We start from the raw sequence: 17,469 nt of genomic DNA, 5'->3' as shown, positions 1-17,469 counted from the left end.
CCTGGGCTGGATGCGGAGGCTCACGCCTGTAATCCCAGCACTTTGGCAGGCCCAGGCAGGGGGATCACTTGAGGCCAGGAGTTCGAGACCAGCCTGGTCAACATAGTGAAACCCTGTCTCTAGTAAAGAAAACACAAAAAAAATTAGCCGGGTGCGGTGGCAGGTGCCTGTAATCCTGGCTACTTGGGAGACTGAGGCAGGAGAATAGCTTGAACCCGGGAGGCGGAAGTTGTAGTGAGCCGAGATGGCACCACTGCACTCAGCGTGGGCGCCAGAGGGAGGCACTATCTCAAAAAAAAAAAAAAATTATCCATTGCTTCACAGGCTTCCCGTCCACCCACCGGGTTCCTGCTAGTCACACTCTTTCTTCTCCCTCTTCACAAACTATTTGTCTACCTCCATTTGCTGTCTTTTCATTTACCCAAAATTTAAAAGTAGAATCTATCTCACACATTCAGATAACACACGAATTCAACCTACTATGTATCTATCACTACAGTAAACACTTTGTCATATTTACTTCGGGTCTAATTTCTTATTTAACAGAAATAAGACAGGGTAGATCGAAATTAATAGTGCTTTAGAAAGCCAAAAAACAAGGTTTTTTTTTCTGTAACTGTTATCATGAAAATGCCAGTGAGCCAGATTTGCCCTCACGCCTCTTGGGGTGCAGCCCTCCATCTGAGCCCCCTTTTCAGGGCGCCCTTGACCTCTTTGTTGCGAAGGCTGTTGATGAAAGGGTTCAAGGTCGGCGTGATGACAGCGTAGACCACGCTGGCCAGGCGGTCGTAGCGGGCTGAGTAGGCAGACGACGGCGGGAAATACACGGAGAGGACAGAGCCAAAGAAAAGCGCCACCGCCACCGCCACTAGGTGGGCCCCGCAGGTGGAGAAGGCGCGGCGCCGGCCGCCGGCAAGCCGAGCACCGCGACCAGGATGCGCGCGTAGGAAAAGGAACACGAGGAGCAGCGGGGCCAACACCACGGCCAGGCCCTCGGAGAAGATGGCCGTCTCCGCGGCGGACGTGTCCGAGGTCGCCAAGCTCAGCATCACCGTCATGTCGCAAAAGAAGGGGCGCACGGGGGTGGGGTAGGGGTAGGAGAGCGCGGAGAGGAGCAGCGTGTGCAGCAGCGAGTGCAGGTGCGTCACGGCCCACGACGCACGCACCAGCGAGGCGCAGCGCCATGGCGTCACCAGCGCGCCGTAGCGCAGGGGCCGGCACGCCGCCGTCGGGCGGTCGTAGGACATGGCCGCCAGGAGGTAGCTCTCGGTGATGCCCAGAGCCACGAAGAAGTACATCTCGGCAAAGCACGCCTGGAAGGATATGGCCTGGCCCGGGTGGAGCAGGCCGGCCAGCAGCCTGGGGACCGTGACGGTGGTAAAGCAGACGTCCACGAGGCTCAGGTGACCCAAGAAGTAATACATGGGGGAGCGGAGGGCCCCGTCGGATCTCACCAGCGCCACCATGCTCAGGTTGCTCAGGGCGTTGAGCAGATAGATGCCAAGGCAGAGCAGGAACAGCAGCGGGTGGGCGTCTGTTCCGTCCACCAGGCCGAGGAGGAGGAACACGGGGGCAGATGTGAGGTTGGTCGGAGCCATGGAGTGGACTGACAGGTGGGAATGCCGAGGGGAGGGAGGAGGCAGCCGGCCGAAATTCTAGAACTCCGGGTAGACTTCCTGCATGTTGAGGTTCCAGATATACATTTTAATATATGTTTATAAATATACAAATTTCTGCTTGCTAAATGGATTGAAAATCACGTTGCTCATCCAATAATCTTAATTTTATGAAGAAACGGAATCTCAGAAGAGTGTTCTAGCGTAGTGGGTAACTCTCAGACTTTGGTGTAGGTCAGACCTGCTTTGAATCCTGGCTCTACCACAAAGGTGTTGAGACCTTTCTGAGCCTCAGTTTCTTCTTCTTTAATGAGGAAAATATTAGTGGCTACCCATGGAATTGGTTGTTGGATACAGTGAATAAGTTTAAAATACTTCGCACAGTGCCTGGCATATAATAAGCACTCAAAACTCCTCTATCATCTATCTATCCAAACTCCTCTATCTATCTATCTATCTATCCTCCTCTATCATCTATCCATCTGTCTTTGCTGTCTATGTGATCTGTGTATCATCTGTGTAATCTATCTAACATCTATTTACTTAATCATCATTATTTGTTTAAACAATTAGGAGCAGAATTCGGACCCAGGCCATTTGAGTACCAGTCTAAATTTCTTCATAAAGCACCTTACTGCATTTACCATTCATTTGTTGACCACACATTATATGGTTCTTCAGGAATTGACAAGATTTATTTATTTATTTATTTATTTTGAGACGGAGTTTCACTCTTGTTGCCCAGGCTGGAGTTCAATGGCATGATCTCAGCTCACCGCAACCTCTGCCTCCTGGGTTCAAGCAATTCTCCTGCCTCAGCCTCCCGAGTAGCTGGGATTACAGGCATGCGCCACCACGCCCGGCTAATTTTGTATTTTTTTTAGTAGAGACCGGGTTTCTCCATGTTGGTCAGGCTGGTCTCGAACTCCCGATCTCAGGTGATCCACCCGCCTTGGCCTCCCAAAGTGCTGGGATTACAGGCGTGAGCCACTGTGCCTGGCCAGACAAGCTTTTTTTTTTGGTAAAGAATCATATAGTTAATATTTTAGGCTTGTGGTCCATATGGTCTTGTTGCAACAACTCAGCTCAGAAGTTGCAGTGCAAAAGCAGCCATCAACAAAAAGTAAATGAATGGCCACAGTACTGTTCCAATAAAACTTTATTTGCAAAACAGGTGGTGGTCTGGATTTGGACAATTTGCTGACCCCTGTACTAGATACTGTAGAGAGCAGGAAGATGAATGAGTCTTAGCTTCTGCCCCCAAACAGTTTGACGTGCAGTAGCTTGCAGCATGTTTAATACTTTATTAATTTCATGAACCAAGCAGGAGTAAATTATTCTTCCTAGAGAAATTTGGGAAGAATTCAAAGAAGAGGAGAGACTTGAACTGGGTCTTGGTGAATGAATCAGGTTCACCAAACAGACATGATGTTGTGTGGGACAGGGAGGGCATTGCAGACTGCATGAAGAGATTGTGTGGAGTTGTTGGCAGAGGAGGCATGGAGTGAAGAGAGTAAAACATCCGCACATGACACTGGGAAAGGCTTGTCCTTGCTCTGTCCTCAGTGCACAAAATCAACTGGAGAAAACACTTTTAAATTTCTCAGTTAACCAAGTGACTTCAGTTATCTCAGAAACAATGTACTCATTTTGTCCCCCATTTAATCTCTTCCTTAAAACACCACATTCTTTTCTCCCATTGCTCCAAGGTTTCTAGCAGTGTTCAACCAATCTAGCACACCTACCCTTTGCCAGGAAAGCTCCAGGCTTTGGTGAAATCCTGGAGGATGGACTAAGTCAGGTCTTAGCAGGGAAGCTCCTTGCAGGAAGGAGCTACATCTCACTGTCTTGTGCAGTGATCTGTATATAATATTTATTCAATAAATATTTGTATACAATATTTATTCAATAAATATTGTATACAATATTTATTCAATAAATATTTGTATACAATATTTATTCAATAAATATTTGTATACAATATTTATTCAATAAATATTTGTTGAATGAAGCTTTTGGAAGAGCAATGAATGAAAACAGAGGTGAAGGGACCGTGAAGGAGAGGGTGATGGACAAACTCCAAGGCAAACTGCTGTCAACTTCCTAAGGTAACCAGATATATAACATTTTTTATATTTTGCTGCTTCTCTATCATTGTCACCCAGTTGCCGTCCCAGGGAAATCATCTGCTATGCCCCTTCCAACCCCACCCCTTGCCCCAGTATAGAGTAGTAGCATCAGAGAGCCAGGACCTTGGCACCCCTCCAATCCATTCTCTTCAGTTGTAGGATTCTTCTCAACTGACTCCTAACCTGCACTCCCCAAACTCCTCTTAGGCAGGTTGTGTGATGCAGTGAGAAGAGCACTAGCTTTAGAGCCACCTGGATTTTCATCCTGACTGGCTGTGGAAACGTGGACCCACTTCATTTCCTCTTCAGTCTCTTCATCTATAATGGGGATATTGAGGCCTCTCTTACACGGTTGATGTCAAGATTAAAGAGGTAATGCACATACAGAAGTGTAGCAGGGAACGGATGCTAATAGATGTTAGTTCCTTTTTCCTCAGCTTCTGATGGTTTCTCTCTGTTCCCTGATGGCTTCTTGAGATAGGCCAGTCCAGCGCTGGAGGACTGTAGTTGTTTAAGTCTTTTTCTTAATCTCAGCTGAAGTCTGCTTTCCTGTGACTTCTACAAATGATTCCAATTTTGGCCTCAGAGCTACACATGCCAAGCCTGCTTTCTCTGCAGCTTTTCACATAGTGGCCAAAGGAACCTATTCCACTATTCTTTTCTTCAACCCAAACACCCCTAGTACCTTAGATCTTTTCTTATAGAGCCATATTTTTAGGTCCTTTTCCATTCTGGTCACTCTCTGCTTTGTCCATGTTAACAGGAGTTGGACACAATGCTCTAGCCGTATGATGGCTCAGCCGTACAATTCATGCCCCTTTATTGAGTGCCTTTATTGGGTCCGGCATTGTGCTGGGTTCCGGGGCTCTGAAGAAAGGCCAGTCGTTGTCCTTGACCTCCAGCTAGGCACAATGTAATAAGCACTACACTAACTGCATGAACAAAGTGGGAGTGGTTTCCTCTGCTAGACGATTTGGAGAAGATTCCAAAGAATAAGTGGAATTCGAGCTGATTTTGGAAGAATGAGTAGGAGACCACCAGATATACAGATGCTTGGGAGTGGAAAGGGCATTTCAGGCAGGGGAAAGAGAATGTGAAGGTATAAGAAGATGTTTTGTGGGTTGCTTAGAGCTAAAATGTGGCCTCTTCCTCCCTAGTGCTGTAAGGCAGAGTTTGGACGTGGGGTCAGGGAGGAAAATAGGACATGAGGAAAAGAAGATAGCAGAGAAATGTTGGGTTTTCTCACCTGAAGGGCAGCATGCCAGAACTCAGTACTCTCTGCAGAGATTGTTGGCTGGTCTCCCTCCCAGCCAGAGGTACCCAGTCTTGAAGGCAAATGTGTTGTCATCCATCTCAGCCCAGAGACTTCAGTGGGTTTCCTGTGGGCTGAGACAGAAGCTGTATATAGAGAGAACGCCACAGCTATAAGGGCTCTGGGAATTCCTGAGCCATAGTTTTCCCACTCAACTTTACTTTCCTGCCAGTTTCCCTCTTGCCTACTGGATGCAGGGCTGAGCCGTTTGCACTCATACAAATATCCCGTTGCCTGTTAGATAGAGTGCCGGTGGCTCAGCCACACATCCAGAGCTTTCCAGCATGGCCCCCTCCTTCTCACATGCCTTCCCTGTATGCTCCTCCCTACCTGAAATACTCTTCCTACCCTATCCCAGTACCCCGCCCAGCTCCACTCCTCCAGGAAACCCCACCTCCTTTCTTGACTTCCCAGCCCACACGAACACCTCACTCCTGCTTCTTGTATCTCTCATTGGGAACTTGGCCCTCATTTGCTGGTATAAAGTGAGGATTTCTTTTCTGTTTTTTGTTTTGTTTTTGTTTTTTCTGTAATGCTGATCTTCCCTGCTAGATGATGAGCCTTCTGAAGACAAATGTTTGTCTTTCCTCATCTGACCTCAGGCTCGGCACAAGGTTTTGTCCTAACTTTCCTGGCAAAGTCAGGGAAGACTCCACAGAAGAGGTGGCATTTGAGCAGGGCGAGCTTGAAGGACAAGGCATTCAGTGGACACATAGGAGTAGGAGAGAATTCTAGAAAGAATTCCTTTCCACGTACAAAGGAAATACAAGAGAAACTCCAGGAAGCTTCTTAACCTCTTTGAGCTTCATTTTTTTTTCTCCAAAAGTAGGATAAAAATACCATCCTCACAGTTTGCTTATAAACACTTTGCAAATAGTAGGTGCTTCATAAATGTCAGTTTCCTTCCCCATCTCCTGACGACTTCAGGCGATGGGGAGATATGATGACTGAGTTTGTGTCAGCTCCTGTTGAAACACGAGGCACAGGGCTGGGCTCCCTGGATGCTGAGCTGCTGTTGTGGACACATAGCCCTTTCCTCAGGCCCAGGTCAGGCAGGTGTCTGCTTTGAATTGGGCAGGAAGGATTGATTATTTAAGGTCGCAAAATGAGGCAGGGATGCTTAGGATCTAGAATTTAAAAAAAAAAAAAAAACCCTATGTTTGAGGCAGCTCACTGCCTTCAACTCCATGCTAAAATGGTCACTTTTGGAGCGCACATTCAGATGCCCCAAGACACGGAAGTGCACAGGGATACACGCTTGCACACAGACACACACGGATGTATCCCGATATGTCCAGGCACACAGACATGCCAGAGACACGCACACCCACCGGGACAGGAATATATGAATATATGGGCACATACAAACACTCAGTCCCTTACACACAGACGTAGACACCTACAGAGATCCGTGCACTAGAGAAAAACATAAATCATATATGCCACATACACATGCAACACCCAACAAAGATGCCCTGCCCCCAAACAAATGCCAGAGACATAAAACCTCAATAGATGCTCCCAGACACACTGAGGCACACACGTGAATCTTACACGCAAACATCCACATACCGGTTCCCTCCTTCCTCTCGCTCTCTCTTGCCTCAAGTCCGCCTGCCTCAACAGAGTGGAGAGTGGGCAGTGGTAAACAGGGAAACCATCAGTGGCCCCCACGCTCTCAGGCCTGGGGGTTTCTATCCAATTCCTTAAATCCAGTCTCTCCTTGGCCAGCCCAGATTCTTCTCTTGATGGTGTGCCCAGTAGCTTTCTCTTTAACCACAGTCTTAGTCCTGGATGAGCCCTTTGTATTCCAAGGATCTCTTCTCCTCTACTTCCTTCTGCCAACTTCTTACTCATTTGTCTTCAATAATGTATTCAAACATCTTAACTGTTGTATCTACTCCATGCCAGGCAGGTACTTGAGCACTGGTGGGGGAGGCATTCGGAGATGAGTAAGACAAAGACAAAGAACTCACCATTCTATCCTGGTATCAGGCAGCTGGCAATGATTCCTAGATATCATTCCACCCAACACCCATGTCATAGACAGGGAAAGCAGCACCCGGAGAACTGTGTCTGCAGTCGCTCAGTAATCAGGGGATCAGTCAGAGTCCAGATCCTGGGCTCCGAACCCACCTATGGTTCATCCACTTCCCTGTGCTGCGTGCCACACGTTGGCAGGTCGTTCTCGTGTATTGCTCTCCCTCAGACGCTTGATTTACTCCCCTTCCCTTTCTGCCATGATTCTTCTGCTTCCTCCCAGCAAGTCTGCAAGCATTAACGAGCTCTGCCCTCCACAGCTCACCCACAGAGGCTAATCTGCTTCAGGCAAAGGGGGAGTTACAGCAGGTGTGCCCTGGAGAGGAAGATTGGCCTCAGCAGCCAAAGGCAGGAGGAGTGGCCTGCAGGCTGGGAGGAGAGGGGCCACCCACTAATTGATTAGCCTGGAAATTCTGTGGAGAGTTATGGTGGCCTCTGAAACCACTGGCCCCTTGAGGACTCCTCAGTCCTCAGCTAGTGCAGCCTCCCCTCCTCTCTTGTGCTAGAGAACTGAGTAGGAGAGGGGGCATCGAGGTGTGTGGGAAGCCAGAACTGAGGTAGATGCCTCTCAGTGTGGTGACTGGCTGTGCTGGTCTGCTGTGCTCAGAGGATGATGCTGTCACTCCCCTGCCCCTTCTATGCAGGATGGCATGTGAGGGACGGGGTGTGTTAGTGACCCTGGCCTCTTCTCCCTGGTTTTTCCCACCCTGAGCTACAACCATCACCCCTAAAGCTGCGACCTCACCATGTGATTCCTCTGCTCGGGGAAGAGCTCTTCCTCCTAATTCCACTGTGAGCAGTGAAGTGGAGCTGCGGGTGCCCTTCCCTGAGCTCCAGGCCTGCCTCAACCTCTGAGGTCCCACCTCACCCAGAACCTGGGGGAGGAGAGGAAGGGCTGGAATTGCCAGCAGATTTGCTCCAGGACAGTAGGTTCAGGGATCGTGGCAGCCGAGCCTCACACCCCATGTGGAGCTGTTCTTTGTGGACTTCAGGGTTGGCGCTCTCTGTTACTCCTTTGCTCAGGTTGGAGTTGTGGGGATCTCAGCCTTGTCCAGCTGGTGTCAGAGCAAAATGACTTCTGTTCCTTGTTCTGAAGCCTTTTGACTGTCGTGTCCTCATTGGCCTCGGCAGAGTAGCCCTCCTGGATCTGGAGGGGCCAACCTAACTTCCCAGGCTGGACCAGTTTCTCCTGAGGACAGTCTTGTTCTCTCATCTTTCCTTTCTCTACCTGGGCCATATGCCTTTTAGTTCTTGTGGAACTGATAGTCACGTCCCATGGAATGAACTTCTCTAGCTTGACTATTCATTCACTTGATAATATTTACTCAGCATATGGGGTCCCAGCCTTGTTGATCTCTGAGGAGTGTCAGAGAAGTTGTGGAATGAGTGAGATATTCAAGTCCCCACTAGCTTTTGACCCTAGGTGAGGCATTTCTCCCCTGTGAGTCTCAGCTTTCTCCCTGGTAAATTGAGAGGAGTAAACTGATGATTCTTTCATGTTTGAGGGTATAAAGTTTTGAGGATGCACATTTCATAGTTAACAGGTTGCGGGGAGAAGACTTGGGCACAGCAAGTTACAGTGCTTGGCAATAAGTGCCCTAGGTACTGAAATGAAACTGCACCTGTGGCTTGAGTGTTCAGGGAGAACTTCCGGGGGGAAGTGGTATTTAAACAAGAAGAAAAGTGGAAGGATTTGGGCATGTGGGAAGTACCTGGGAACCATAGTTTATGCAGAAGTGATAGTGGTGGCCCATCTGGAGCAGCTGCTGCGGGGATGCCAGCTGCAGCAGGGGAGGTGCGGCCAGGGCTGCGTGCTCGGTGGAGCTGGCAGGGGCTGGGAAGAGGTGGGAGCCCCACCCCCTACCAAGTTGGTGAGGCAGGAGCCCCACACTCCTAGGCGCAGCTGCAGCTGCCCAGCCGTGGCTCTGGACCCAAGCATCCCTGCACTCTTAGGGGTCCAGGAAGCCCCCTGCCCCCACGGGCTTGAAAGTGCCTGCTCTGCTCTGGCCTCTCCCTACTCCTGGCACCTGCTCCAGGGCAGAGCAAAGTTGTGGCCGAGCCTGGGCATTGTTGCAACCCAGCCAGGTGTGCACACACTCAGGGGGCTGACGTGCCAGCCCCCTGCTGCCTCTGCCCCCTCCAGACTTTGGACACCAAAGAGTGTGGGAGGGGAGTCTGGGGAGGGCGGTGTGAGGGCAGCTTGGCATGGGCCTACAGATGCCTCTCAGTGTGGACAGCCTGGGTACCACAGACAGCATGTAAAAGGCAGACAGGTTCCTAGGTGGGAAGGGGCAGGTCCTGGTGAAACCCCACCTTCAAGCCAGGGATGGCCTGAAGCCTGGGGGCCAGGCTGCCGGTTCCAGGTGAAGTCAGCAGCCTGGTGTGCGAACCTCATTGATGACCATTCAGCCAATCAGATGGTGCTTTCATTTCTCCTTGTTATGTTTTCATTTCTCCTTGTTATGTTTTCATTTCTCCTTGTTATATACCTAGGAACAGAACTGCTGGGTCAAAAGGTGGTTATATGTCTCACTTTCTTAGAAACTGATAAATAGTTTTCCAAAATGGTCAGACTAGTTTACATCCCCTTTGGAATATTTGAGAGTTCCAATTTCTCGACATTCTTGTCAACACCTGGTATTATCAATTTTTAATTTTAGCCTTTCTACTGGCCCTGTCATACTGGATTATATCATCTTTTTCTTTATCTGTATGGTCTCAGCTATCCTCAGAGTCTTCTTTTCCCCAGAGAAGTGCCTGCAGCCCTCACCTTGGTGTCATCTCCCTGGTCAATGGAACAGCTTGGTAGAGGAGACTCAGCAGCCCCCGTGCTGTACGTAGTAGTCATGGCCATGCCAAACCCATTCATCTAAAGCCCGAGGAACAAACGCCTGAAGGAGTCTTCGGGGATAAATCTCAGGGCCAAAATGGTCTCTTCCACTTACAGTCTCAGTGAGGTAGGCAAAGAATGTGGGCCCATTAAGGAAGAGAGAGAATAAAGCTAATAAAATAAGCAACAATAATAATGATAGCAGCTACCCTTTATTGAACACCTACCAGACATTGCCTTTATTGCTTATATATTGTCATTTAATATTCCTAACAGCTTCATGAAGTAGGGCATTATTATTTTCATTTTATAAATGACCAAACTGAGGCTGGGAAATGCTAGGAAAATGGCGGTTAGGAGACGGGACTAACATGCAGCTCCCCCTTGGTTGGACAGAACACCGTGTGGAGACTCACATTGTGAACTTTCTCTACAAGAATCACTACAGGAAGATACAAGCAAAACCAAAAGAATTCACATACCCTTTGAAAGAAGCAGCTTGCCGCTGCAAACTCTGCAAGGCAGCTGAAAAACTGAGTTTTCAATGTGTGAGAGGGAGAAAAGTCTGCCTCCAAACCCACATCCCCACTAGGGAACCTGAAAATCAGATCATGGGAGAGAAGGATTTAACCTTACCTAGAGCTAAAGCAGATTTAAGGAACCGAGCAAAATATAAAAGTAGAAGAAGCAATAGAAAGAGCCCTGTAGGCACCCCTGGTCTCCAGTCCAAGCCCAGGGAAGCCATCCCTGGCCTTATCTCACAGGGATCCTTGGGAAAGGCAGCCAGCAGAATTGGGGGAGGGGCCAAAGGGTGAAGGAAGCTTCTAGCTGACCTCTGTAATAAGGCAGGCAGGGAGAGGCAAGACCTGATAGCCCTGCTTGCTTTCTCAGTGGGGAGGCTGGTAGCCTGGGGGAAGATCTCAGCCCTGCTGCCTGGACATAAACTCAGTGCTATTGGTGGGTCATGATGGGAGTGAGACTGGCCTTTCTGGCTGCATGGAAGCTGGGTGACACCTGTCACTGCTGGTTTTCCCCACTTCCCTGGTGATATGTATGATGCAGCAAAGGCAGCCATATTCCCCCTGGGAACATAACTCCAGTGGTCTGAGAACCACCCCTTCCGTCCCCCACAGTGGCTGCAGCAAGCCCTGCCCAAGGAGAGTCTGTGCTCAGACCCACCTAACCCTGCCTTCCCCTGATGGTTTTTCTCTACCCACCCTGGTAGCCAAAGACAAAAGACATAAATGGGAGCTCTGTGGCCCCAACCGTCACCTGAGAAACCCCATTATTTATCCTGGCCAATGTAGGGCAAGCTTATATCCCCCTTCTACTATCGTAGCTGGTGCTCTCTTGAAAGTGCCACCTCCTGGCTGGGGGCCAACAATCTAAAGCCATTACAGCAACTCATAAGGAACAAACCTGCTCCAAAGAAGGAGAAAACAATATCTCATTCCACTGTTTGCAACACCCTGGTCAACCAGAGATCCTGAGTTTGTCCATGTGACAGCTTAACTGCTAGCATGACCAGCATTTGAGAAAACCAGTGCACTAAACCAAACTACAACCAAGCACTCCCACAGAGTCCATTTCACTCTTTGCCACCTCCACCAGAGCAGGTACTTGTATCCACTGCTGGGAGACCTGAAGACAGATCACATCACAGGACTCTTTGCAGACATTCCCCAGCACCAGCCCAGAGCCCAGTATCCCTGCTGGGTGGCTAGACCCAGAAGACAAATAACAATCACTGCAGTCTCACTCTCAGGAAGTTCCATCTCTAGGGGAAGGGGGAGAGCACCATATCAAGGGATCACCCCATGGGACAAAAGAACCTGAAGAGCAGCCCTTGAGTTCCAGATTTTTCCACTAAAACAGTCTACCCAAATGAGAAAGAACCAGAAAAGTAATTCTGGTAATATAGCAAAACAAGGTTCTATAACACCCCCAAAAGATCACACTAGCTTTCCAGCAATGGACCCAAACCAAGAAGAAATTACTGGGCCAGGCACGGTGGCTCATGCCTGTAATCTCAACATTTTGGGATGCTGAGGAGGGTGGATCACTTGAGGTGAGGAGTTTGAGACCAGCCTGACCATCATGGTGAAACCCCATCTCTACTAAAAATACAAAATGAGCCAGACATGGTGGCATATGCCTGTAGTCCCAGCTACTAGGGAGGCTGAGGCAGGAGAATCACTTGAACCCAGGAGGCAAAGGTTGCAGTGAATTGAGATCGTGGCACTGCACTTAGGCCTGGGTGACTGAGTGAGACTGTCTCAAAAAGAAAAAAAAAAAAAAAAGGAAGAAATCTGTCAAGTCCAGGTGACCAAGTGAGACTATCTCAAAAAGGGGGGGAAAAAAAAAAAAAAAGAAAAAAAAAAAGGAAGAAATCTCTCAAGCCTGGGCAACTGAGTGAGACTGTCTCAAAAAGAAAAAAAAAAAAAAAAAAAAAAAAAAAAAAGGAAGAAGGCTCTGAATTGCCAGATAAAGAATTCAGAAGGTTGACTATTAAGCTACTCAATGAAGTACCAGAGAAAGATGAACACCAACTTAAGGAAATTAAAAAAAATACAGGATATGAATGAAAAATTCTCTGGAGACCATTATTCTAAGTTAAGTAACTCAGGAATAGAAAACCAAACATTGTATGTTCCCACTCATAAGTGAGAGCTAAGCTATGAAGATGCAAAGGCATAAGAATGATACAATGGACTTTGGGGACTTGGGGGAAAGGGTGGGAGGGGAGTGAGGGATAAAAGACTACAAATTGGGTATAGTGTATAGTGTTTGAGTGATGAGTGCACCACAATCTCAGAAATCACCACTAAAGAACTTATTCGTGAGATGAAACATCACCTGTTCCCAAATAACCTATGGAGCTAAAAAATAAAAATAAATAAAATCTTGAAGGACCATGGGGGAAAATGTCTCCAGAGAAATAGAAACCGTAAAGAAAAGATAATCACAATTTCTGGAAATGAAAGACACACTTAAAGAAATGCAAAATACATTGGGAAGTTTCAACAATAGAATCAAACAGGTGGAAGAAAGAATGTCAGAGCTCGAAGACATGGCTTTCAAATTAACACAATCTGACAAAGACAAAGAAAAATGAATAAAGCCTCCAATAAATTTGGGATTATGTTAAACAACCAAACATAAGAATAATTGGTGTTCCTGAGAAAGAACTGAAATCTAAAAGTTTGGAAAACTTACTGAAGGGAATAATTGAGGAAACCTCCCCTGGTCTTACTAGACATCTAGATGACCAAATACAAGAAGCTCAAAGAACACCCTGGAAATTCATTGCGAAAAGATCATCACCTGGGCAGATAGTCATCAGGTTATCTAAAGTTAAGGTGAAGGAACAAATCTTAAGAGCTGTGAGGCAAAGGCATCAGGTAAACTATAAAGGAAAACCTATCAGATTAACAGCAGATTTCTCAACAGAAGCCCTACAAGCCAGAAGGGATTGGGGTTCTACTTTTAGCCTCCTTGAACAAAATTATCAGCCAAGAATTTTGTATCCAGCAAAACTAAACTTCATGAACAAAGGGGAGATAAAATCTTTCTCAGACTGACAAATGTTAAGAGAATTTGTCACTACCAAACAAGCACTACAAGAAATGCTAAAAGGAGTTCTGGATCTGGTAATAAAACTTTGTAATACAACAAACTGGAACCTCCTTAAAGCATAAATTTCACAGGGCCTATAAAACAATAACACAATAAAAAAGAAACCCAAGGAATTCAGGGAACAATGAGCATGATGAACAGAACACTACCTCACATCTCAGTATTAACATTGAATGTAAATGGCCTAAGTGCCCCAGTTAAAAGATGCAGAATGGAAGAATGAATAAAAATCCACCAAAAAAGTATCTTCTGTCTTCAAGAGGCTCACCTAACGCATAAGGACTCATGGAAACTTAAGGTAAAGGGGTGGAAAAAAATATTCCATGCAAATGGAAACCAAAAGCAAGCAGGAGTAGCTATTTTTATATTAGACAGAACAGACTTTAAAGCAACAGCAGTTAAAAAAGACAAAGAGAGACATTATATAATGATAAAAAGGATTAGTCCAACAGGAAAATATCACAATTCTAACTATATATGTACCGAACACTGGAGCTCCCAAATGTATAAAACAATTACTACTAGAACTAAGAAATGAGATAGATGGCAATACAGTAATAGTAGGGGACTTCAGTACTCTACTGACAGCACTAGACAGGTCATCAAGACAGTCAACAAAGAAACAATGGACTTAAACTATAACCTAGAGCAACTGGACTTAACGGATATTTACAGAACATTCTACCTAACAACTGCAGAATATACATTCTTTTCATCAGCACATAGAACATTCTCCAAGATCGACCACATGATAGGCCACAAAACAAGTCTCAATAAGTTTAAGAAAATGGAAACTATATCAAGTACTCTCTTAGACCACAGTGGAATAAAATTGGAAATTAACTCCAAAAGGAACCCTCAAAACTACACACACGCATGGAAATTATATAAGCTGCTTCTGCATGTTATTTGAGTAAAATCATGATGGAAATTAAAAAAATTATTTCAACTGAATAAGAGTGACACAACCTATGAAAGCTTCTGGGATGTAGCAAAAGTAGTGCTAAGAGGAAAGTTCATAGCATTATATGCCTACATCAAAAAATCCTAAAGAGCCCTCTCCCTCTCCCTCTCCCTCTCCCTCTCCCTCTCCCTCTCCCTCTCCCTCTCCCTCTCCTTCTCCTTCTCCTCCCTCTCCCTCTCCCTCTTTCCATGGTCTCCCTCTGATGCCGAGCCGAAGCTGGACTGTACTGCTGCCATCTCGGCTCACTGCAACCTCCCTGCCTGATTCTCCTGCCTCAGCCTGCCGAGTGCCTGCGATTGCAGGCGCGCGCCGCCACGCCTGACTGGTTTTCGTATTTTTTTGGTGGAGACGGGGTTTCGCTGTGATGGCCGGGCTGGTCTCCAGCTCCTAACCGCGAGTGATCCGCCAGCCTCGGCCTCCCGAGGTGCCGGGATTGCAGACGGAGTCTCGTTCACTCAGTGCTCAATGGTGCCCAGGCTGGAGTGCAGTGGCGTGATCTCAGCTCGCTACAACCTCCACCTCCCAGCCGCCTGCCTTGGCCTCCCAAAGTGCCGAGATTGCAGCCTCTGCCCAGCCGCCACCCCGTCTGGGAAGTGAGGAGCGTCTCTGTCTGGCCGCCCATCGTCTGGGACGTGAGGAGCCCCTCTGCCTGGCTGCCCAGTCTGGAAAGTGAGGAGTGTCTCTGCCCGGCCGCCATCCCATCTAGGAAGTGAGGAGTGCCTCTTCCCGGCCGCCATCCCATCTAGGAAGTGAGGAGCATCTCTGCCCGGCCGCCCATCGTCTGAGATGTGGGGAGCGCCTCTGCCCCGCTGCCCCGTCTGGGATGTGAGGAGCACCTCTACCCGGCCGCGACCCTGTCTGGGAGGTGAGGAGCGTCTCTGCCTGGCCGCCCCGTCTGAGAAGAGAGGAGACCCTCCGCCTGGCAACTGCCCCGTCTGAGAAGTGAGGAGCCCCTCCGCCCGGCAGCCGCCCCGTATGAGAAGTGAGGAGCCCCTCTGCCCGGCAGCCACCCCGTCTGGGAAGTGAGGAGCGTCTCCGCCTGGCAGCCACCCCGTCCGGGAGGGAGGTGGGGGTCAGCCCCCGCCCGGCCAGCCGCCCCGTCCGGGAGGGAGGTGGGGGGGTCAGCTCCCCTCCCGGCCAGCCGCCCCGTCCGGGCGGGAGGTGGTGGGGAGGTCAGCCCCCCGCCCGGCCAGCCGCCCCGGCCAGGAGGTGAGGGGCGCCTCTGCCCGGCCGCCCCTACTGGGAAGTGAGGAGTCCCTCTGCCCGGCCAGCTGCCCCGTCCGGGAGGGAGGTGGGGGGGTCAGCACCCCCGCCCGGCCAGCCGCCCCGTCCGGGAGGTGAGGGGCGCCTCTGCCCGGCCTCCCCTACTGGGAAGTGAGGAGCCCCTCTGCCCGGCCAGCCACCCCGTCCGGGAGGGAGGTGGGGGAATCAGCCCCCCGCCCGGCCAGCCGCCCCGTCCGGGAGGGAGGTGGTGGGGTCAGCCCCCCGCCCGGCCAGCCGCCCCATCCGGGAGGGAGGTGGGGGGATCAGCCCCCCGCCCAGCCAGCCACCCCGTCCGGGAGGGAGGTGGGGGGGTCAGCCCCCTGCCCAGCCAGCCACCCCGTCCGGGAGGGAGGTGGGGGGGTCAGCCCCCCGCCCGGCCAGCCGCCTCGTCCGGGAGATGAGGGGCACTTCTGCCCGGCCGCCCCTACTGGGAAGTGAGGAGCCCCTCTGCCCGGCCAGCCGCCCCGTCCGGGAGGGAGGTGAGGAGGTCAGCCCCTCGCCTGGCCAGCCGCCCCACCCGGGAGGTGAGGGGCGCCTCTGCCCGGCCGCCCCTACTGGGAAGTGAGGAGCCCCTCTGCCTGGCCACCACCCCGTCTGGGAGGTGTACCCAACAGCTCATTGAGAACGGGCCATGATGACAATGGTGGTTTTGTGGAATAGAAAGGGGGGAAAGGTGGGGAAAAGATTGAGAAATCGGATGGTTGCCGTGTCTGTGTAGAAAGAGGTAGACATGGGAGACTTTTCATTTTGCTCTGTACTAAGAAAAATTCTTATCCTGTTGATCTGTGACCCTACCCCCAACCCTGTGCTCTCTGAAACATGTGCTGTGTCCACTCAGGGTTAAATGGATTAAGGGCAGTGCAAGATGTGCTTTGTTAAACAGATGCTTGAAGGCAGCATGCTCGTTAAGAGTCATCACCACTCCCTAATCTCAAGTACCCAGGGACACAAACACTGCGGAAGGCCGCAGGGTCCTCTGCCTAGGAAAACCAGAGACCTTTGTTCACTTGTTTATCTGCTGACCTTCCCTCCACTATTGTCCTATGACCCTGCCAAATCCCCCTCTGCGAGAAACACCCAAGAATGAACAATAAAAAAAAAAATCCGAAAGAACAAATAGACAATCTAAGTTCACACCTTAAGGAACTAGAGAAACAAGAACAAACGAAACCCAAACCCAGCAGAAGAAAAGAAATAACAAAGATCAGAGCAGAATTAAATGAAATCCAAACAAAAAATACAAAAGATAAATGAAACAAAAAGCTGGTTCTTTGACAAGATAAAGAAATTGATAGACCATTCTTGAGATTAACCAAGAAAAGAAGAGAGAAAATCCAAATAAGCTCACTTAGAAACAAAATGGGAGATATTACAACTGATACCACAGAAATACAAAAGATCATTCAAGGCTACTGTGAACACCTTTATGCACACAAACTAGAAAACCTGGAGGAGATGGAGACATTCTGGAAATATACAACCCTCTTAGATTAAACCAGGAAGAAATAGAAACTGAACAGACCAAGAACAAGTAGCAAGATTGAAACAGTAATTTAAAAAATGCCAACAACACAAAAAAGTCCAGGACCAGATGGTTTCACAGCTGAGTTCTATCAGACATCCAAAGAAGAATTGGGCTGGGCACTGTGGCTCACACCTGTAATCTCAGCACTTTGGGA

General features: G+C 48.9%; 2 protein-coding genes and 1 pseudogene across 3 annotated transcripts in view; 2 read left to right on the top strand and 1 right to left on the bottom strand.

Moving 5' to 3' along the window:
- Nucleotides 1-653: 653 nt before the first annotated feature.
- On the bottom strand, nt 654-1,598 carry OR1R1 (olfactory receptor family 1 subfamily R member 1). Its single transcript, NM_001396056.1, has one exon. The coding sequence runs from the start codon at nt 1,596-1,598 to the stop codon at nt 654-656; it is 945 nt and encodes a 314-aa protein (NP_001382985.1).
- The window catches only part of OR3A2 (olfactory receptor family 3 subfamily A member 2), a 110,196-nt gene continuing 93,946 nt past the window's right edge, over nt 1,220-17,469 (top strand). For both annotated transcript variants that reach the window (XM_047436157.1, NM_002551.5), the window contains exon 1: nt 1,220-1,403. The gene's annotated coding sequence lies outside the window, so the exon portion shown is untranslated. The remainder of the gene's footprint in view (nt 1,404-17,469) is intronic.
- OR1AC1P (olfactory receptor family 1 subfamily AC member 1 pseudogene) lies at nt 9,815-10,061 on the top strand (annotated as a pseudogene).

Source organism: Homo sapiens, chromosome 17, assembly GCF_000001405.40.
Source record: "Homo sapiens chromosome 17, GRCh38.p14 Primary Assembly".
Classification (NCBI taxonomy): Eukaryota; Metazoa; Chordata; class Mammalia; order Primates; family Hominidae; genus Homo; species Homo sapiens.
The sequence above is the reverse complement of the archived record's forward strand: the minus strand, read 5'-3'. Positions and strand labels throughout refer to the sequence as shown.

Coding starts and splice junctions, on each gene's coding strand:
- OR1R1 (NM_001396056.1), bottom strand. CDS start 1,598: ATGGCTCCGACCAACCTCACATCTGCCCCCGTGTTCCTCCTCCTCGGC.